This window comes from Homo sapiens, chromosome 19 (genome assembly GCF_000001405.40).
Source record: "Homo sapiens chromosome 19, GRCh38.p14 Primary Assembly".
Lineage (NCBI taxonomy): Eukaryota > Metazoa > Chordata > Mammalia > Primates > Hominidae > Homo > Homo sapiens.
Genome location: NC_000019.10, coordinates 20099863 through 20122714, shown reverse-complemented (window position 1 = coordinate 20122714; position 22852 = coordinate 20099863). Strand labels below are relative to the sequence as shown.

General features: G+C 37.5%; 1 protein-coding gene across 2 annotated transcripts in view, besides 1 other annotated feature; it reads right to left on the bottom strand.

Annotated features, from left to right (window-relative positions):
• Positions 1-1546: 1546 nt before the first annotated feature.
• ZNF90 (zinc finger protein 90) overlaps positions 1547-22852 on the bottom strand; it is a 43169-nt gene continuing 21863 nt past the window's right edge. Inside the window, exons 2-4 of one of the 2 annotated variants that reach the window (NM_007138.2) lie at positions 18350-18476; positions 17399-17494; positions 1550-4934 (exon numbers count right to left, since the gene is read on the bottom strand). In NM_007138.2, coding sequence (NP_009069.1) covers positions 3355-4934; positions 17399-17494; positions 18350-18476 — 1803 coding nt within the window. In that variant the 3' untranslated portion in view covers positions 1550-3354. Of the gene's footprint in view, positions 5014-5121; positions 5168-17398; positions 17495-18349; positions 18477-22852 lie in introns of those variants that run through there. The other variant, XM_047439360.1, reaches the window with a different exon arrangement.
• Positions 20411-21610: an enhancer, noted in NCBI's record as "MED14-independent group 3 enhancer chr19:20211914-20213113 (GRCh37/hg19 assembly coordinates)". NCBI's record gives its function as "activates an origin of replication core promoter dependent on BRD2, BRD4, P300/CBP and CDK7 cofactors, and independent of MED14, by STARR-seq in HCT116 cells {active_cell/tissue: HCT116}" and the evidence as "EXISTENCE:reporter gene assay evidence [ECO:0000049][PMID:35650434]".

Sequence of the window (22852 nt, the reverse complement as noted above, 5' to 3'; positions counted from 1 at the left end):
ACACATAGAACAACAAAAATATACCCAATTATATACTTTTGGTTACATTTTCATTAAAATAAGTGTTATAAATAATTTGTTTGTTTGAAGAGGGCTTTTATTGTTGTACTCAAGAGTGTTATTTATGGAGACAAAATTGCCTGTGCTTCAATAGGCAGATTCTGGAAAGAATTTGAAACATAAGCTATAAAATTTTACATTAATAAATTCAATACAAAGCAGAAAGTGTAGATTTGCTTTCAACATTTTGAAGGTGTTTTCTGTTATTCACCAAATTAAAATAAGTTGTTTTGTTTCAATAATTGTGCTTTTCTTCTGAAAATATGTACCAAAGCAAACTCACAAATACACTTACTCACTTTATATTTTTCTTACACCTAAGGTTTACCTTCAGAGTAATATGTGGATATTTCACTCTATGAAAATTAAAACTAAAACTCTTGTGTTTGCAGGCAGAGAAACCACAAGTTTATAGAAAACTATGTAACAAATATTTATTAATAATTTTTCAGGACTCAGAAATGTTGCCTAGGCTGGAATGCAGTGGTGCAATCTCGGATCACTGTAAACTCCACCTCCCTTGTTCAAGCTATTCTCCTGCTTCAGCCTCCACGCAGGTGCTCCTATGCCTGGCTAATTTTTATATTTTTAGAGACAGGGGTTCCCCATGTTGGCCAGGCTGGTCTTGAAATCTTGACGTCAGGCAATCCAGCTGCCTCAGCCTCCCAAATGGTTGGGATTACAGGCATGAGCCACTTCATCTGGCCATATTCTTTTTATATTTCTGTATAATTTTTATTACGACCATAAAAATAACCCTGTAGTCAATTAAAATTTAATTGTACATTTTCAAATAACTAAAAGTGTATAATTACACTGTAATACAAAGGATAAATGCTAGACGTGATGGATACCTTATTTACCCTAATGTAATTACTACATATTGTAGTCCTGAATCACAGTATGCCATATAAAGCATAAACGTAAACACATACTATATACCCACAAATACTAAGAATAAATTTCTGTAAGAATAAAAATTTAACCTATGGGAAAAATATTCTTCAACTCAATTAATTTAAAGCCACTGGCAAAGTGATTACTAATGATGTTATTCTACTATATACCAAATAGTATACTGCTACCATCTTGTAACTATACCCTTGAGTAAGGTGGGATAGGTTAAAGTTAGTGGCATAATATGGCTTCATTAAATGCAAAATAGTCTTAATATGGTAAAAAATAAAATAAAACTAGGCCAATCTCAGCACTTTGGGAAGCCGGGGCAGGTGGATCACTTGAGCTCAAGAGGTCGAAACTAGCCCGACTGATATGGTGAAACAATTAGCCGGGCATGGTGGCACACACCTGTAGTCCTTGCTACTTGGGAGACTGAGGCAGGAGAATCGCTTGAACTTGGGAGGTGAAGGTTGCAATGATCACACAGAGATTGCGCTGCTGCACTCCAGCCTGGATGAGAAAGTGGACTCCATCTCAAAAAAAAAAATAAATGGATACAACAAAATTAACTTCACACACAATCTAACAATTTTTTAATGTAGTGTATTTTATTACATAAAATTAGTAAAATAATACAGTAATTTAATATACCTTTAACTGTAATTCATAATTTCTCTCACTATAATGTAGAAAAGTATTACTCTGAACACTACCTTATACATTACTTAATATAGGTCAAATACGAACAGCCTGTCCACTTATATTTTCATCATGCATCTTACATTTTAATATCCTTTCTCTTTAATAGAAAAGGTTATAAGGAATGCCCAATAAAGAATCTGTAATATCTCTGATGCAGCATCAATTGATCACATGCTTTCACATGTGAATAGAAATAAAGTAACAGCATAAATTTGAAAGCTCTATTACCTTATTCACTTTTCAAAAATTTTTTCTCAAGAAAGCAAGTATACTTTCAATGTAATTACAATGCTTCAAAAAACCTTTTAAAGCTATATATAATTTATCTAACAATTTTTGTTGTGGATTCTTTTTTATACTCAACACTGTTTTAGTGTAATGTCTGAAGTATCAGTGCCTTATTCTACTGTAAATTCTCTGATATTTACATGGAATTCATTTTGAATTAAATATTTTTTATATTTACTGTTTCTGCAAACATATATTTTAGTATCAACTCTCTGGTGTTTTCTAAGCTGTAGTTTTTGAAAAAAAATTTGTTTCCAAATTCACTACATTTGCAGGATTCTTCTCTAACATAAATTCCCTGTTGTTGAACAAAGCTGGAGCAACTGCTTCAGGGTTTTCCTCTAGTACAAAATGTGTGCAATGAAATCTGTGATGCAAGTAAAGGTAATACAACCCCCTTTATATGTGTAATGGTTGTCTTCAGAATACTCTTCTTCACTTTAAAGGCTTCTATTTTCTGAAAGATTTCTTGAGCATAATTGCACTTTAAATGCTTTCATTAACTGTGAACCACCTTCTGTTGGGTAAGATGTGAGTAGGCATTAATGGGTTTTCCATATTTTTTATAATTGTGCAATTTTTCTCAAGGATACTAGCTTTCCTGTGAAATAAGGTGTATGCACTGATTAAAAAGTTTTCCCACATTCTTCACACTTGTAGGAGTTTTGCCAGTATGAATTATCTTACCTACAATCAAGTCTTGCAACCATATAAAGGATTTGTCAAATTTTCTATTATTTCTAGGGTTTCACACTAGTATAATCATCTTTATGTACAGAAAAGTTGGAGGTGGTGGTAAAAGCACTGTCACATCTTTCAAGTTTGTAAAGTTCCTCTTCAGCATGAATTATCACCATGTCTCTTAAGAACTGAGAACTTGTGGCTGGGCATGGATGCTCATGACTGTAATCCCAGCATTTTAGGAGGCCAAGGTGTGTGAATCACAGTTGGAGACCAGCCTGTTAAATATGGCAAAACCCTGTCTCTACCAAAAATACAAAAATTAGTTGGGCATGGTGGTGGAGGCTGAAGCAGGTTAATGGCTTGAACCAGGAGGAAGAGGTTGCAGTGAGCAGAGATCGTGCCATTGCACTCCAGGCTGGGTGAGAAGCATGAAACTCCTTCTTAAAAAAAAAAAAAAAGAATTGAGAACTTGTTATAGGCTTTGCTGCATTTTTCACACCTGTAGAGTTTCCGTCCAGTATGAATTATGTGTAGTAAGGGTTGAGAACTTCCTTAAAATGATTTGTCACATTCTTTATTTTTGTAGGAGTTATGTTTCATATAAATTCTCATATTTAGTAAGAGTAGAGGGGTGGTCAAAGGCTTTCCAACAGTCATCACATTTATACGGTTTCTCTCCAGTATGAATTATCTTATGTTTATTAAGGGTTGAGGAATATTTCAAAGATTTGCCATGTTCTTCACTATGTAGGCTTTCTGTCCAATATGAATCCTCTTATGTGTATTAAGGTCTGAGGACAAGTTAAAAGCTTTGCCACATTCTTCACATTTGTAGGGTTTCTCTCCAGTATGACTTATCTTATGACTAGTAAGCTGTGAGGAGCGCTTAAAGGCTTTGCCACATTCTTCACATTTGTAGGGTTTCGCTCCAGTATGAATTATCTTATGTTTACTAAGGACTGAGGAGCGCTTGAAGGCTTTGCCACATTCTTCACATTTGTAGGGATTCTCTCCACTGTGAATTATCTTATGTGTGCTAAGGGCTGAGGAGTACTTGAAGGCTTTGTCACATTCTTGACATTTGTAGAGTTTCTCTTCAGTATGACTTATCTTATGTGTAGTAAGGTTTGAGGAGCGCTTGAAGGCTTTGCCACATTCTTCACATTTGTAGGGTTTCTCTCCACTATGAATTATCTTATGTGTGCTAAGGGCTGAGGAGCGTTTGAAGACTTTGTCACATTCTTGACATTTGTAGGGTTTCTCTTCAGTATGACTTATCTTATGTATAGTAAGTGTTGAGGAGCGCTTGAAGGCTTTGCCACATTCTTCACATTTGTAGGGTTTCTTTTCACTATGACTTATCTTATGTTTATAAAGGAGTGAGGATGAAATAAATGCTTTGCCACATTTATCACACTTGTAGGGTTTCTCTCCAGTATGAATTCTCTTATGTGTACGAAGGACTAAGGAGCGCCTGAAGGCTTTGCCACATTCTTCACATTTGTAGGGTTTCTCTCCAGTATGGATTCTCTTATGTGTACTAAGGATTGAGGAGAGCTTGAAGGCTTTGCCACATTCTTCACATTTGTAGGGTTTCTCTTCAGTATGACTTATCTTATGTACATAAAGGATCGAGGATGAAATAAATGCTCTGCCACATTTATCACACTTGTAGGGTTTCTCTCCAGTATGAATTCTCTTATGTGCAGTAAGGGTAGAGGAATACTTTAATTCTTTGCCACAATCTTCACATTTGTACCGTTTCTCTCCAGTATGAATTCTCTTATGTGCAGTAAGGGTAGAGGAATACTTTAATTCTTTGCCACAATCTTCACATTTGTACCGTTTCTCTCCAGTATGAATTCTCTTATGTGAAGTAAGGTGTGAGGACCTGTTGAAGGCTTTGCCACATTCTTCACATTTGCAGGTTATCTCTCCAGTATGAATTTTCTTATGTGTAGCAAGGGTTGAGGACTGGTTGAAAGCTTTGCCACATTCTATACATTTGAAAGGTTTTTTTCCAGTATCTCTTATCTTATGTCTGTTTGAATTTGAAAATATATGAGAGACTTTCACATATGTATCACATTGAAATACTTTGCTCTGGGTAGCTGTCAAACATTGGTTAAGTCCATTATAACCTCTTTTGTGTACTTTACCCTCATCCACACTTTCACAACCTTTTTTTAACTCTAAATTGCCATATTCACGTTTTTCATATCTTGTCACTATCACTTTTTGGAAGGAATCTTTTAGGCTCTGCTCTGGACAAAGGTCTTGGGCAAAATGAAAACACATAACTGAAAGAAACAATAAGAACACATTACTTCAATTGCTAGATTCTGATAAATACAGGTTACATTTACAAACAAAATTAACCTCATCTTGGGCAAAATGAAAACACATAACTGAAAGAAACAATAAGAACACATTACTTCAATTGCTAGATTCTGATAAATACAGGTTACATTTACAAACAAAATTAACCAGGCATGGTGGTGGGCAAATCCCAGCTACTTGGGAAGCTGAGGCAGAGAATTGCTTGAGCCTGGGAGGCGGAGATTGCGGTGACCCAAGATCACACCACTGCACTCCACCCTGGGCAGCAGAGCCAGAAGAAGGAAGGAGGGAGGGAGGGAGGGAAGGAGGGAAGGAAGAAAGGAAGGAAGGAAGGAAGGAAGGAGAAAAGAAAAGAAAAGAAAGGAAAAAAAAGAAAAGAAACGAAACAAAGAAAAAGAAATTTCCACCCAGGCTCATGCCTTTAATCCCAGCACTTTGGGAGACCAAGGCAGGTGGATCACCTGAAGTCAGGAGGTTGAGACCAGCCTGACCAACATCATGAAACCCCATCTGTACTAAAAATACAAAATATTAGCCAGGCATGGTAACAGGTACCTGTAATCCTAGCTACTTGGGAGGCTTAGGCAGGAGAATTGCTTGAACTGTGGAGGTAGAGAATGTGGTGGGCCAAGATCATGCCAGTGCACTTCAGCATAGGGAACAGAATGACATTCTGTCTCTCTCTCTCTCTCTCACACACACACACACACACACACACACACACACAAATGTAAGTTGCCAATTCTTTTTTTTTTTTTTTTAAAGAAAAACATTGGCACATACATCTTTATTTCTGGCTTCTATGTGCTTCTTAGACACTGGTTAATGTCTCCCATGACATAAAACGCTTAAAGAAGTGGTGATATACATTGGAATGACAGTTTGAGTCTACTGAGTCTAAAGATAAATGTTAGAGAAGCAGAGAAACTGCAGTACCCCAAACAGGGAATGGCTGCAGCAAGTGATTACTGATTATTAAAAAAAATAAGCCATTTAACTAAACAATAAACACAAAATTTAGACAAGACACATCCTAAGAACATGTTTGAGAAATTCCCAGAATCTCTAGCCAAGACTATTGATTTCAGACTATGCCAGGACAAAGCTATATTATAAAAAGATTGTAACAGGTAGCTTTTTGTCAATGTCCAAATCTCAATCAAAGATTGCAATGTACACAAAATATTAGAGAAACATGGCCCAATGAAAAACATTTCAAAAGCAACTATAAAAAGCATATAAAGTAATTTTTAAAATTCCAAATAAATTGAACAGGCCAGGGTTGGTGGTCATTCCTGTAATTTCAACACAGAGAGGTTAAGGTGGGAAAATCACATGAGGTCAGGAGTATGAGACCAGCCTAGAGAACATGGTGAAACCCTGTATCTACTAAAAACTCAAAAATTAACTGGGCATGGTGGCATAAGCCTGTAATCCAAGCTGCTTGGGAGGCTGACACACAAGAATTGCTTGAACCTGGGAGGGGATGGTTGCAGTGAGTGGAGATTGTACCACTGCACTGCAGCCTGGGCAACAGAGCAAGACTGTCTCAAAAATAAAATAAAATATGCTGGGCACAGTGGTTCACGCCTGTAATACCAGCAATTTAGGAGCCTGAGGTGTGTGAATCATTTGAGGTCAGGAGTTCAAGGTCAGCATAGCCAACATGGTGAAACCCTGTCTGTACTAAAAATACAAAAACTTAGCCAGTCATAGTGGAAAGCACCTGTACCCAGCTACTCAGGAGACTGAAGCAGGAGAATCGCTTGAACCTAGGAGGCAGAGGTTGCAGTCAGCCGAGATTGCACCACTGCTTCCAGCTTGACAGAAAATGACTCCATCTCAGATAAAATAAATACAGAAATAAATAAAACATAATAATATACAGTAAGTGAAATGGAAACACAGACAACTACTGAAGATCAGGAAAATGAGGATAACAAGAAATATTAAAATAGCAAAAAATAAAAATTTTGGATATAAAAATTACAAAAAGTAACTGAAAAATTTATCAAAAGAAAAATGATGTAAACATAAAAAAGCTGAACAAACAAACTAGGATACACATAAAGATACTTATAACAAACACATATATAAGTAAAATTTCAAAATTCACATATAAGAGCATTTTCGGAGCAGCAGATGTAATGATGAAGAATTTTTGCATATAACTTAAGTTATTTTTTTACCACATTCAAATATATTGTTGGATCTTTTAGAGTTTTTATAGAATCCCCCATGGTACCACTAAGAAAATATCTGTAAAGATACACAAAAGAAAATTTTTAAAAACCTGAAAGCATATTAATACAAAAAAAAAAAACAGAAAGGAAAATGAGAGACAAAGATACAAGAATCAAATAAAACAAAAAATAAAATAACATTAGTAAGCTTTTCTCTTTCAGAAAACTATTTAAAATTTTATATGTATAATTATCTTTCCAATCAAGAGACATTCTTTCAATAAAAAAGTTTATTAAAAATTTTGTGAAATCAAGATTTAACTTGCCTTTCTACAAGAGTCAGTTGAGATCTAATAACAAAAAAAGACTGAAAGTGGCAAGATGGAAGTAGAAATGTCATGTAAATATTAACCAAATGAGAGCAGAAGAGGTCACAATAGTATTACACAAGCTACATCTTAAGTCAAAAACTGTCATATTTTATAAAATGTAATTTAAGTCAAAACTTCAAAAAGATGTTAAACAATATGTAGATTCATTCGCTGGGGACCTATGACAAATTTGTTTATCCATGTGTGTATTTGTGTGCGTGTGTGTCTCAAATTAGGGTTTCAAATATATAAAGCAAATAGTAAGAAAACGGAATAAACACATAGAGAGAAATATAATTATAATAGGCTATTTCAGTAATGCATTTTCTGTTATAATAATAAAACAAGACAGAATATTAGTAAGGGAACAGGGGACTAGAAGGCAGTAAAAAACAATTATTTCTAATGAAGGTATAGAGAACACTCCTCAACAACATCAGGATACACAGCCTTCTCAATAGCTCATACAACTTTCTTCTTTATGGACCACCTGTTAGGCCAAAAACAAAGTCATAACACATTTTTTAAAGCTGAAAATAGATTACTTTCTATGACAAAAACGGAATTAGAGTATAAAATAATAATACAAATAATTAATAAATGTACAAATATATAGAAATGATACAACACATATTCTAACAATTATTAAGATAAATATTGATGACATTATGCAAAATGAGCCAGCCACAAACAGACAGATATTGTATAAGATATATAAATCAGTTATGCTCTTTGAAACAGAAAACAATGTGGTGTTTGAAGAGTGCCACGAAATGGGAAGAATTGGTAGTTGTTTAATGTGTATAGAGATTTAGCTTTGCAAGATAAAAACATTCTAGTGATATGTTGCATAACAATGTCAATATAATTAATATGAACAAACTGAATATTTAGAAATATATACTTCTCATTCTGTCTCCCAGGCTAAACTGCAGTGGCACAATATCGGTTCACTGCAACCTCCACTTCCCGGGTTTAACCAATTCCCCTGTCTCAGCCTCCTCAGTAGCTGGCATTACAGGTGCATGCCAACACACTTGGCTAATTTTTTGTATTATAGTAGAGACCATGTTTCCCCATGGTGGCCAGGATGGTCACGATCTTCTGACCTTGTGATCTGCCCGCCTCAGCCTCTGAAAGTGATGCGATTACAGGCGTAAGCCACCCCGCCCGGCCTAGAAATATTTTATTATAAATTTTATTATTTTTTGACACATAACACATAAGTAAACAATAATACCTTAAAAAAATACAGAGTTAGTATTGTTTTGAAATTATCTTCAAATCCAAAAGTGTTTCTGACACACAAAAATAAGATAGATTCACAAGGAAATTGATGTTGAAATTAGGAGTGTTTTTGAGACCAGGTCTCACTCTGTCCCTCAGGCTGGAGTGCAGTGGCGCGATCTCCGCTCACTGCAAGCTCTGCCTCCCGGGTTCACTCCATTCTCCTGCCTCAGCCTCCCTAGTAGCTGGGACTATAAGCGCCCGCCAACACGCCCGGCGAATTTTTTGTATTTTTAGTACAGACGGGTTTCACCGTGTTAGCCAGGATGGTCTCAATTTCCTGACCTCATGATCCGCCCGTCTTGGCCTCCCAAAGTGCTGGGATTACAATCGTGAGCCACCGCACACGGCAAGATTAGGAGAGTTTTTATGACTACTCACCTAGACAGGATTAAAAACACTGTTACAAGCTGCGTGCGGTGGCTTACGCCTGTATCCCAGCACTTTGGGAGGCCAAGGTGGGCAGATCACCTGAGGTCAGGAGTTCAAGACCAGCCTGACCAACATAGTGAAACCCTGTCTCTACTAAAGTATGAATGAAATTAGGCGGGCGTTGTAGTGCACGAATGTAATCCCAGCTACTTGGAAGGCTGAGGCAGGAGAAGGGCTTGAACCCAGGAGGCAGAGGTTGTATAGTGAGCTGAGATCCTGCCATTGTACTCCAGCCTGGGTAACATGAGTGAAACTCCCTCTCAAAGGAGAAAAAAAAAAGAAAAAAAAATAAAAAACCGTTACAACAAACCTACACAACAAACACACAAGTGACACAAAACTACAGGGATAATATTTATACAGGAAAAGAAACAGAAATAATTATATTGGTAATAGACATATGGCTTATTCATATTTAATTTTGCTCCACACTGTCTTAAGTGGTACAGAGTTAAATATTGTCATATACAATTATAAACAAAAAAATCAAACCACAATTAATTGCTGTGATGTGACATACCCAAAAATATATAACACAAAAATATTAAATTGCAAAAAAAGCAGTAAAACATGGAACACAAAACTTATTGGATACCGTCAAGTAGATCAATGTATTCATAAAAGAAATCTTAGAATATAGGGAAAAAGAAATACAGAAGTACTTGAAGATTAAAAAAAACAAAAAAGTTGAGAACTTCCCAAATTTTGATGTAACAAAAAAACATTTCTAACCAGCAATACTCGATTTTAAATTATTTTACTTCAAAAAGAAGATAAAGACTTTCCAAAATAAAAGTTAAGAGGGTTCATCAGCATTTGCGCAGTCCTACAAGATGTACTACAAGAGGTTGTGCATGCTGGCTCATGCCTGTAATCCCAACACTTTGGGAGGCCGAGGTGGGTGGATTGCCTGAGATCAAGAGTCTGAGACCAGCCTAAACAACATGGTGAAACCCCGTCTCTACTAAAAATGCAAAAATTACCCAGGTGTGGTGGCACACACCTGTAGTCCCAGCTAGTCAGGACGCTGAGGCAAGAGAATTGCTTGAACCCAGGAGGCAGAGGCTGCAGTTTGCCAAAATCATGCCATGCCACTCCAGCCTGGGTGCCAGAGAAAGACTCCATCTCAAAAAAATAATAATAATAAAAAGGCCAGGTGCAATAGTGCCCACTGCCCTTCACTGCTCTTCATCCTGGGCAAGAGTAAGACTCAGTCTCAAAAAAAAAAAAAAAATCAAAATTATTATACATGAAACCTTTAAAGTTCTTTTTTATAGAATATAAAAAACAATATGTGAATCTGAATAAATCGACTGGGCACATCGGCTCATGCCTGTAATCCCAGCACTTTGGGAGGATGAGGCGGGTGAATCACAAGGTCAGAAGCTTGCGACCAGCCTGGCCAACATTGTGAAACGCTCTCTCTACTAAAAATACAAAAATTAGGCGGGCATGGTGGTGCATGCCTGTAATCCCAGCTACACAGGAGGCTGAGGAAGGAGAATCACTTGAACCTGGGAGGCAGATGTTGCAGTGAGCTGAGATCATGCCACTGTACTCCAGCCTGGGCAATAGAGTGAGACTCCATCCCAAAAAAAAAAATCTGCATAAATCTGTTAATAAATACAGCATATAAAATAATTTTAATATCAATTATAAGCTGAAAATATAGAGGCATAGTTTTTGTATTCAATTGAAGTTCTTATAAGATTAAAATATAGTTTTAACTTTAAGATGTATGTAATCTCCACATTTCAAGATGATTACAAAGATAAAATTTATAGAAAGTATACAAAAGCAAATAAAAAATAAAGCATACCAGTACAAAATTAAATGAAAATTAAGAAAATAAAATAGGAAATGAGAACATAACTATTAGAAACACATAACACAATAATTATATAACTGGTAATTTTTCTTTAAGCAATCATTTTAAGTATGAATTAATTAAACTACTTAATAAAATAAAATGTAATCTTAGTACTGTGGAAGGCTAAGATAGGCTGATCACTTGATCCCAGGAGTTCAAGGCCAGCCTGGGCAACATGGCAAAACTCTGTCTCTACAAAAAATACAGAAAAGCTAGCAGGGTTTGATGGCACCTACTTGTAACCCAGCTACTTGAAAGGCTGAAATGAGATCATCACCTGAATTTGGGAGGTTTGGGTAGCACTGAGCCTTGCAAGTTAGCCTGGTTGACAGAGTGAGACCCTATCTCAAAAATAAAGGAGGCCAGGCACAGTGGCTCATGCCTGTAATCCCAGCACTTTGGGAGGCTGAGGCACAGAGATCTCAGTATTTAAATAAAATACTGAGAAATAAAATAACTAACAAATCCTTTCAAAAAAATATAGGAAAAAGACATCACATTGGTCATGGCACCATTTTCTTAGATAAGAAATTAAATGCATGAGCAATAAATGAAATAACAGAAAAGTTTAACTACACTAGACATCAAAATTTCTGCATATTAAAAAACAATTCAAGAGTAACAACGTCCTTTAGAAAATGGGTGAAAACATTTGCAAATTACATGTGAAAGAAGTTAATATTCAAAATATATAAACAACCCTTAAAACTAAACAATAAAGGTGAATAACTTAATTTAGAAATAGATAAACAAGTTTTCATTAGAAAAGTACACAAATGAGAAAAAGCATTTGAAAGGGCACAAAAAACTATTTATAGAGAACTGAAAAAGAAAAACCCACAATGACAAACAAAATCACCTCACACCCATTAGAATGGCCACTATAAATTTTTTAGAAAACATCGAATCTCTTGATGATGCAATAAAAATGAAACCCATGTTAAACGTTGGTGGAAAACAAAGATACAGCCATTATTTTAAAAAGTTATAAATGTTCCTCATTTAGAAATCTATATCCAAAATATGTAACAAAGTCCAGGTGCAGTGGTTCAAGCCTGTAAATCTAGCAACTTGGGAGGCTGAGGGGGCAGATCACCTGACGTCAGGAGTCTGAGACCAGCCTGGCCCCGTCTCTACCAAAAATACAAAAAATCAGCTAGGCATGGTAGTGGGTGCCTGTAATCCCAGTTACTAGGGAGGCTGAAGCAGGAGAATTGCTTGAACCCAGGAGGCAGGGGTTGCAGTGAGCCAAGATCACACCACTGCACTCCAGCCTGGGCAACAGAGCAAGACTCCATCTCAAAAAAAATAAAACAAAGCAAAACAACACAGGACCTGGAAAACATATTTGAAAATCCATGTTTATTGTATATGTATTCACAAAAGCCAAAAGCCCAAAGCAATCCAGATGTCTCCCGATTTATAAACATCAAAAAAAGTAACATATACATACAATGGAATATTATTCCACCTTAAAAAGAACAATCTTGTCACATTTTAAGATGAACATTGAGAATATTGTGTCACTTGAATTAATACAGTAACAAAATTATGGATACTGTATGATTTCACTTATATGAAATAAGTAGTCAAAATCATAAAATCAGAAAGTGGAAGGTTTGTCTGTCAAGGGCTGGAGAGAGGGTAAAATGAGCAGTTGTTTCTTAATGGGTACTAAGTTTTAGTTTTGCAAGATGTAAAGTTTCTAGAAGTCTTTTGCATAACAACATGCCTGAAATAAACAGCTTTTTTTTTTGGAGACAGAGTCTCACTCTGTCACCCAAGCTGGAGTGTAGAGGCACAATTTTGACTCCCCTTCAATCTCCCATGTAGCTGGGACCACAGCTGCACACCACCATGCCTGGCTATTATTAATTTTTTTTTTTTTACAGAAATGGGTCTCCATATGTTGCCCAGGCTGGTCTCAAACCTTTGGGCTACAGGAATCCTCCTGTCTTGGCCTCCCGAAGTCCTGGGATTACAGACGAGAGCCACAACCATGCCTGACCCTGTGATGTACACTTTAATAAATTTAAGATGGTAAATTTTATGTTATGTGTTTTTAAAACAATGCTTTTAAAGAAAAATTGAAAAAAAATCCAGAATTATACATCTTTCTGAAAATTACCTTCAGATCACAAAAGTGTTTCTCTCACAAAAGGAAAAATATATATTAATTATTAAACACATGGTGAAAGTAAGACTATCTCCATGACTACTCACTTAGACAAGATAAAACTCCCATTGAAATTCAGCTAAGAAAAAATATCTAAAATTGGGGTCATATTTACAGACAAACACACATACTTATGTAATCTGATTGTGATAGACATGCACAATTTATCTCTTAAACCTCAAATGGACTTAAAGTGTACAAACAGAATTGCAAATTGTCTAAATATTTATAGATAAACACACATACATATGTAATCTGACTGTGATAGAGATGCATAATTTATCTCTTAGCTAAACCTCAAATTGACTTAAAGCATACAAAAAGAATTGCAAATTCTCTACTTACTACATAAGTAAAACCAATAGACACAATAAACTGATGTTAAGAAACCTACACTGAAGCCGGGCACGGTGGCTCAAGACTGTAATCCCAGCACTTTGGGAGGCTGAGGTGGGCAGATCACGAGGTCAGGAGCTCGAGACCAGCCTGGCCAATATGGTGAAACACCGTTGCTAATAACAATACAAAAATTAGCCAGTTGTGGTGGCACGCCTGTAGTCCCAGCTACTCGGGAAGCTGATGCAGAAGAATGGCATGAACTCAGAAGGCAGAGATTGTGCTGAGATTGTGCCACTGCACTTTAACCTGGATGACAGAATGAGACTCCATCTCAAAAAAAAAAAAAAAAAAGAGAAACCTACACTGAAGAAACACACTAATATAGAACTACAAACAATAATAAAAGAATGTTTACTCATAAAATCTGGTATGCTACATTAATGTATCATTTAAAAAAAGTAGTCAGGCCAGGCACGGTGGCTCATGCCTGTAATCTCAGCAACTTTGGGAGGCCAAGGCCAGTGGATCACATGAGGTAAGGAGTTTTAAGACCAGCCTGGCCAACGTGGTGAAACCCCATCCTCATCTCTACTAAAAATACAAAAATTAGCCGGGAGTGGTGGCAAGTGCCTGTAATAACAGCTATTTGGGAGGCTGAGGCACAAGAATTGCTTGAACCCAGGAGGTGAAGGTTGCAGTGAGCCAGGATTGCACCACTGCACTCCAACCTGGGTGAGAGAGAGTAACTACTTCTCCAAAAAATTTTTTTTAACAATTTGTCTAAGTAACTGCAATATTTAACCATCACTATGTATTCATCATATACAGGTATTTTGAATCATTGGCATGCACTCTGTGGCAGTAAAATTTCAGAGAATATGCAGCATAATTATAAATAGAAGATTCTAATGAGAAACTTTTAATAAATTAGCATTTAAAACTAGATTTGTTAAAAAACAAATGTTTTAAATATATGGTATTCTTACACAAAACGCAACTGCTGTAATCCAACTTTAGAAGAAAAGAGTAGACTTACATTGTTAAATATAGAAAAAATATATATTTTTTTTCCAGAATAGGGTTAGACCCTCTGATATGTAAAACAAATATTAGGAAATAATCTATATTATTTAGATATAGGCTGAAAAAAGTAGATGAAAATCCTATAATTCCTTTTTGCCTGCAGCAAAGCTTCGATTTATAAGTAACTATTTTAGTTATTTATCATATTTAGTTAAATATTGGGTGCCCAATAATTATGTAATTCACTTCAAGTATACCATCAAATTCTGGCATATTGTCCTAAATATCTGAAACTAAAATTGCAGACAAATTTGAAATAGAAAATAGAAAGTAAAAATGTATATGGAGAGTGACATCAGTAAGAAGGAAAGAGTTAAATTGTCCTATTTTCATATCCCCTTACAGCAAAAAAAAGTCAGCCATCCCTGACAAAAATGCCTTTATGAGAGAAAAAGGTATTATGGTTCACACCTGTAATGACAGCTACATGGAACATTAAGGTTACAGAACTGCTTCAGGCCAGGATTTTGAGACCTGCATGCATTATGCAGCAAGATGCCATTCCAAAATAAGGGCCTCTAAGAGAGATTTGAGATCCAGGGAGGGAGTTGTGAAATGCTGTTAAAGCTAAAGATTGAGAAGCCTTCTAGTCAGAAGGCAGGCCCTCATTTAGGTGGGAAACTAAAGGGCCGCTGTTCTTGGCTACAGACCAGGATCGGGTTTATTTACCCAACTTGGTCCCGCTGAGAATTCAGAACTTACTCTGTAACCATCCCAAACTCCTCCCAGCCACAGTCTGGCTGAGGTTCTGCCACTCCAGAGACCTGGAGAAAGGCACCCAATTATAGCTATACAGGCAGGCATGAAGACATTGGCCTTTACTGGGGTCCCTGAAGCGGTTCAATGACTCAGTGTCAGTTACCTGAGCCACAGATCATGGCCAATTCTGCCCACATAGAAACCCACACAGTTACCTGAGGAAATGCTGTCTGGTACTCAGTCAGAGCCATACTCATCCACATCCTGATACAAGGCCCACCATATGCAGACCCGACTGCAAAAACATGCCCTAGTGTCTGCCCTACAGAGCAAAGTCCTGAAGGATATTCAGCCTGTCCAAAAATAAAATGAGAATTACAACAACCCAAGCCCCTGTAACAAGCCAACTAAAGGTGGACCCTAGTGCAGACCCAGCAGCCTTGTGACCAAGCTACAACCCCTCTTCACTATCAATTCAGAGGGCATCTCATCACACTAAGGGCCCAACAAAAGATCTTTACCTTCTAAAACCAATTTATGAAAACCTGGGCCGGGCGCAGTGGCTCACGCCTGTAATCCTAGCACTTTGGGAGGCCAAGGCGGGTGGATCACGAGGTCAGAAGATCGAGACCATCCAGGCTAACACGGTGAAACCCCGTGTCTACTAAAAATACAAAAAATTAGCTGGGCGTGGTGGCGGGTGCCTGTAGTCCCAGCTACTCGGGAAGCTGAGGCAGGAGAATGGCGTGAACCTGGGAGGCGGAGCTTGCAATGAGCGAAATCGCGCCACTGCACTCCAGCCTGGGTGACAGAGCAAGACTCCGTCTCAAAAAAAGAAAACCTGAAGAGGTATTTGCTTCATCAAATTCAGACAGCAATGCAAAACTATATTGTGCTCATTGTCAATGCTTCTATTTTAATGTAGCACTGGAAATATGTGGCAGAAGAATTAGTGAAATAAATAAAAAATCCATTGAAATTGAAGAAAAATAAGTAAAAAGTTGCTGTTTCTAGATCATACAATCTTATATTTTAAAAATCATAAACAGAGTAAAAACTGTCTCAAATAATAAATACTCAGTAAATTAGCAAAACATAAAATTAACATACAAGTATATGTACAGCTTTATATACTTAAACTCTCATAAAATAAAAAGAAAAAATCTTATTTACTATAGCATTGAATAAATTTCTGAGAAAAAAAATTAACCATGGAGGTAAAAACTCTTTACCAAAAAAAAAAAAAAAAAAAAAAAGAAAAAATTAGAGAAGTTCCAAATAAATTTTAAAATATTTTATGTCTATAGATTGAAAGAATAAATATTATTCAAGTGCCATATTATCCAAAGTGATCTATAGATTCAATAAACTTCCTAGCAAAATTGCAGTGGTATCTTTTTCACAGAAATGGAAAATACAATTCTAAAATTTACATGAAACTAAAATAAACTTTGAATAGCCAAAGCAATCTTGACAAAAAGAACAGAGCAGAAGTATATCATACTTATACTTTCAAATGATATTTTAAGACTATATAGTAATAAAAACAGAATGGACCATGCAGAAAAATGAACAAAGAAATGAAACTGATACTACTGCCCTCACACATTTCAGGCCTGATGCAAAAAGACTAAAAACAGTTTAGTTTCTCAAAGTCATGCAGATATTTCTGTGTCCCCAAGACGATGTAAAAGCAGCCAGATTGTGCAGTCTCTTATATGCCATGAAGAGGACTCTGGCTCTCACTGTGAAGTTGAAGGAAGCTCACCGAAAGAAAAGTAGAATCCTTAGAAAATTTAAAAGCATAAGACAGAAGATGTCCCTTTGTGAGAGCCAAATTAAAAACAAAACAAAAAACAGAATCCCAGGAACTATTCTCTTTGGAACACAGCTTCCTAAATCACATTTTAAGGACCGGCTTTCTCTTTGACCTTGGGACCTCTTATCTGTGTTGTCTGTTGTATTCATTTTCACTCGCACCTACCTGGGGATTTGGCAATCATCTCATGTCTCTTCACAGTGAAGGGTTTTTTTCCTTGCTCCAGACAGGTGATCAGGTCTGGCTTAGTGACAACAATACCTGTTTTATTAAAAATAAATAACATGAATCTTCCTCATATTCTCCAATTACAAGCTAGTACTGTGCTCAGCAGAGAAGATGTGATAAAATAGTCTAGTAAATTCCAAAATAGAGTTATAAAAAAAATTTCAAAAGATTTAGAAAATACTTTCAAATCATAGGTTTCTTTTGTGTGTGTGTGGTTTTTTGTTTTGTTTTGTTTTGTTTTTTGTTTGTTTTTTGTTTTTTCAGACGGAGTTTCTCTTGTTACCCAGGCTGGTGTGCAATGGTGCAATCTCAGCTCAGTGAAATATCTGCCTTTCAGGTTCAACAAATTCTCCTGCCTCAGCCTTCAGAGTAGCTGGGATTACAGGCATGTGCCACCATGCCAAGCTAATTTCATGTTTTTAGTAGAGACAGAGTTTCTTTATGTTGGTTAGGCTAGTCTCAAACTGCTGACCTCAGGCGACCTGCCCACCTCAGCCTCCCAAAGTGCTGGGATTACAGGTGTGAGCCACTGCGCCTTGTCCTAATTTGTAGGTTTTTAAATTTTATTACCTGGTGCTACTGAATCAAAAGTTGGTGGTGGCAATTAGATTTTCAGGTGGAGGTAACAATATTTTATGCCACTAAATTTCTGGAATTACCACTAATTTAGAGTGAAGAATACAGCTCATCTCAGGAAAGTGGAAAGTTTAAATTAAGATGAAACATCTTGAAGAAATTCACTTCTAAAAGAAATTCTGAAGATTTTCAGGAAAAGGGGGATCTAAAACTCTCTTATGCAAACAATACATTACTAAAAATCATTCCACAAAAAAACATAAAAACAACCTTTAGGGTATATTATGAATTATGTATTCCACTTATCCTCACCAAGGAAGACCAGGTGTCTGTAGTTCTCTAACATCACATCCCTATATAAATTCTGCTGTGCAGTGTCCAGGCAATGCCACTCCTCCAGAGAGAATTCTATGGCCACATCTCTAAATTCCAATGGTCCCTGAAAAACACACATATACACACACACATTTTTACCAAGTGGTCATGGGCAAAGTTTGTAATTTGAGTTAAGGTGAAATTGGAGAGTAAAGAGAATTGGTTCTGACTTACAAGACTCACTAAATTATCCAATAAAACAATTTCCAACACAAAAATATTTTCTAATATATTGCCTGAGAAAAAAGAGCAGAATAGGATCCACAACATCAGTTCATATATGATATTTTTCTAGATAATAAATTATAAAATTAAGGGCATGAACATGAACATGTACATTTTTGAGTGCTATATTTAGATCATACGGAATGAGTTGTGAATATTTTTCAGACAGAAAAGACACGGTGACTTAGAAGGCACCTCTCAAATTTTAATATGTACAATAAGCTGAAGACCTTGTTATGCAGGTTCTTTTTTTTTTTCCAGAAGATCTGAAATAAAGTCTGATTTTTTGAATTTCTAACAAGCTCACGAATAATGTCAATGTTTTTGGCCCAAGAAGGATATTTTGTCAAACATCCACCAAGTGGAAGAACCTTTGTTTTTCCCAGTTTTTCTGGCCTGTAAACAAAGAGCCTTCATTTTCCAAACAAAAATATGTAGAAAAAATAAGAAAAAAGGACAGCTGCCAGATTAAATGTGCTGGTTTATACATATCAGCTGCACAAAGATACTTAAAATAATTAACTCTATAGTGAAAGAAATCTGTTACAGAGCTATTTCACCAAGTGAATCATTCACCATTAAGTGCACTAGGACAAATTTTATGATGTGCTAATGCGCACAGAAGAATACAGCATCACTGTTGAAATATTCCTGTTGAGAAAAAAGTTGAGGGTTGGGAAGAAAGCTGAGGCAGGGCTTGCATGACTGACATAATGTCCTCTGGAATGTGTCTAGACTTGCTGGTTCCTTGCTTCTAGCCCTCCTAGGCTCCTATTCCCATTATCTCAAGTAGCAGAACAGGTTCCTTATAAATGCTAAACCTTCACAGCTGTAGATCATGTGCCTGTCCTTTCGACCTCCACATTCTCACCACCTGTTTCTCTGTTGGATTACCAATAAACAGCGTGGGCTCCCAGAGCTCTGGGCCTTCACAGCCTCGAGGATCGCAATGGCCCCCTGGTGTCCCACCTTTCTCTCTCAAACTGTCTTTTTCTCAAAGGACTCAAAGGATTGAGTCCATCAGACTTTGTCACCCCCACGACCTGGTGTTTGGTCTGGCCACCCCAACATATTCCTCCCAAAAAAAGTAAGTAAAATATGAATTTAACCATAAAGGAACATGTTTTATACAAACTTCAAAGTACAGATAACTCCTATGTTCTGTAATTTTTAGTAGGAATTTTAAGTAGGCGTCATTTAGCACCCTAGAGAGCAGCTATCTCCTAATACTTTTTTCAGAACTTTCTGGGTAATAAATGCCATTCCATTTAAATAAGCATTTTCTTAATCCTGTTCTGCATAGAGCTAATGGAACACAGATGGAGCCTCAACATGACATATTCTCCATCTTAACTAAGGACCACAGTTTTCCCCAGTAGAAATCTTGAGTATCCATATCTTTTCATGTTCAACAGCTACAAAGGAAACATTTTTAAGATTGCATGTTGGAAACAATTGCTCAGAGTCTCAGGGAAAATGAGCACTCAAAAAGAGAACATCTCAGCAAGGCAAATATACTTCTATAGAAGGGTGTGTCTCACAGATGGAGCAATGGCAAGAGTACACTTGGGCAAGGGAGGGGAAGGGGGCCTTATCGCTAACACCACTAGTCCCTATTGCTGTGTCTTTCTGCTATTGGCTAGGGTTGGACCACAGTCTAAGCTAATTCTGATTGGCTATTTTAAAGAGAGCAATGGTAAGAGCCAGAGTGGTGGGATGAATAGTCAGCAGGAAGGATGGGTATAAGTCAGGTGAGTAGGAGTGACTCAGGACAGAGCAGGTGACTAGGGATGACTAACGACCCTAAATACATGAGTTAGAAGGGATTGTTTACTGAAACTAGGAGCAAGGAGACATTAAGATCGAGGAAGTTGAACTTTAAAATAGAGAACAAAGAACAGGAAAGATGAACATACTGACATTTTGGTTCTTTGAAGAGAACCTCAGAACTCATTGTACTTAATTTCCCCTCTTCAATTTTAAAGGAAGTTAACAAGCTGAAACCTTTGAGGACAAATTTACTGTATCCCACATTGAGGATCATAAATTCTTGCTAAGAATTCTGCATGGCATATAAGAAGCTATGACATGGAGAATGTAGAGAAGGCTCTGGAATATAGGAAAGAAATATTTTTCAGAGACCCTTGACTACCATAAGAATTTTAAGTAGTTCAACCAAACTCATTAGGGAGGATAAACACATGTACAGATGTAAAGTTTTCTGAGTGCTAAATGCATGGCAGTCCAGGAGGCAAAGTGGACACAGCTCTGCATCTGAGACATGTTTACCTGAAGAAAAGCCATTTTTTTTTCTTTCTCCTCCTTCTCTGGAATTCCTTATCAAATGACATTCTCTGGAGAAATTACACCTGCATCTGGAGAATATGCCTTTAAAGGTGTCAGTGCCACATGTCTACCTCCTAGCATGACAACAAATGGCAGAAAAACAAAGACAGAAAAAGTCCACCCATTTATGTCCTTTAAAATAGAAGAGATTCAAAAACAATTAGAGATTCAAAAACAATAAGCTGCTCCATGAAGATAAAAATAAAAGTTTCTCCTTTCCCATCCTCAAGTGCCCTTTTCTAGCACAGACACCAGCAATTTAGTTAAGGGGTGGGTCTTTGTTCTTAGAGCTCCCAAGATGGTGGCAGGCCACTCCCAAGATGGTGGCAGCTGCTCACAAAATGGCTGCAAGCCCTTTGTTCTCTGACCTGGGGTTCTTGGCCTCATGGATTCCAAGGAATGGAACCTTGGGCCATGCGGTGAGTCTTATAATTCTATTAGAAGCCGTGGGTCATGGAAGAGAACCGTGGAACCCAGCGACTAGTGTTCAGTGCAGTTAGGATGAACCCGAGCACTTAGCCATGCAGGAACAATGGCGAGCCTTTAGCCTAATCGGGAGTGGCAAAGGAGCACAGCGGACACCCTGCTGGATCCGGAGGGGGAGGGGTGGAAGTCTTCAGTGGGTCTGGGATGGCGGCAAACAGCAGTGGTCGACGGCAAGTGAAAGCTCAGCTGGAGCCGTAACAAACAGACCAGAAGAGTGTGCAGTTGCAAGATTTAATAGAGTGAAAACAGAACTCCCATACAATGGGAGGGGATCCAAAGGGGGTTGTGCACTCCCGACTCAAATGCCTGGGGTTTATATCCCAATCACTGTCCCTCCCCCTCTGCTCTCAGGTGATACATGATTTGATTATTTCTTTACCTCTTGTTTTTAGTCTAATTGGTATTTTCGTGAGCTCTCTTTACTACCTGATTTGTCAGATGTGAGCTGAGTTACAAGTCCCATGTTTAAAGGCAGGTGCAGTCACCTTCCCCAGCTAGGCTTAGGAATTCTTAGCAGGCATAGGAAATCCAGTTAGTCCTGTCTCTCAGTCATCCCCCTCTCAAGAGGAAAACCCAAATGCTGTTGGGGAGGTTGGCCAATGACTGCTCTTAACTTCTTCCTGCTGAATTGCGGTGTAGTAGGGGTCATGCAGTTGAGATTTCCTGGGGAGGGGTGCCTTCAATGTCATCAACATTGGAGCATGGGCTAGCAGGCCAGTCCAGGGGTCCATGGTAGATCTTAGTCATGGACTGCACCTGAGGCTCCAGTTGAAGAACATTTTTAGTTTTACAGCTTTGCTTCTGGAAGAGACAAACTTAACAAGGAGGTTAATGATACAGGGATTGAAATGTATGGCCTGCAGTGCAGGGGATTATTTTTTTGGCACACTTTACAGGCCCTGACTATCTGCTTGATAGTTTTGAAAAGGCTTGGTCCAGTAAATAATGATTTGGCTATCTGATGGGTGCTATCAATGCCTAAGTAAAAGGTTTGGTGAAGGGTTTTAAGTAATTTCCATTGGTTAGCTGCAGGCAAAAGTATTTTTCCTTCTTTGGTGGCTAGCCATCCTGAGGGGAGGAAACTATGTCCTCCTGAGGTTCCCCATTCTATCTCTTCTGCTGAGTACTGGGGCTTGGTTTCCTGGAGGGGATTACCCCATACTAGGGGTCTTTCTATAATCATTTCTAATAGAGGGTCCCACCTTGCAGCTCTTTTGGCTTCAGTATCCGCTTGGCGGTTCACTTCTATTTCCTTTTCATTTCCTTTCTGATGACCCCAGCAGTATAAGACTGCCACCTCTTTAGGTTTCTGTACAGCCAATAATACTCTCCTAATGGCTTCCTGATGTTTGATAGGTGTTCCCTTGGAAGTTAGGAATTCCC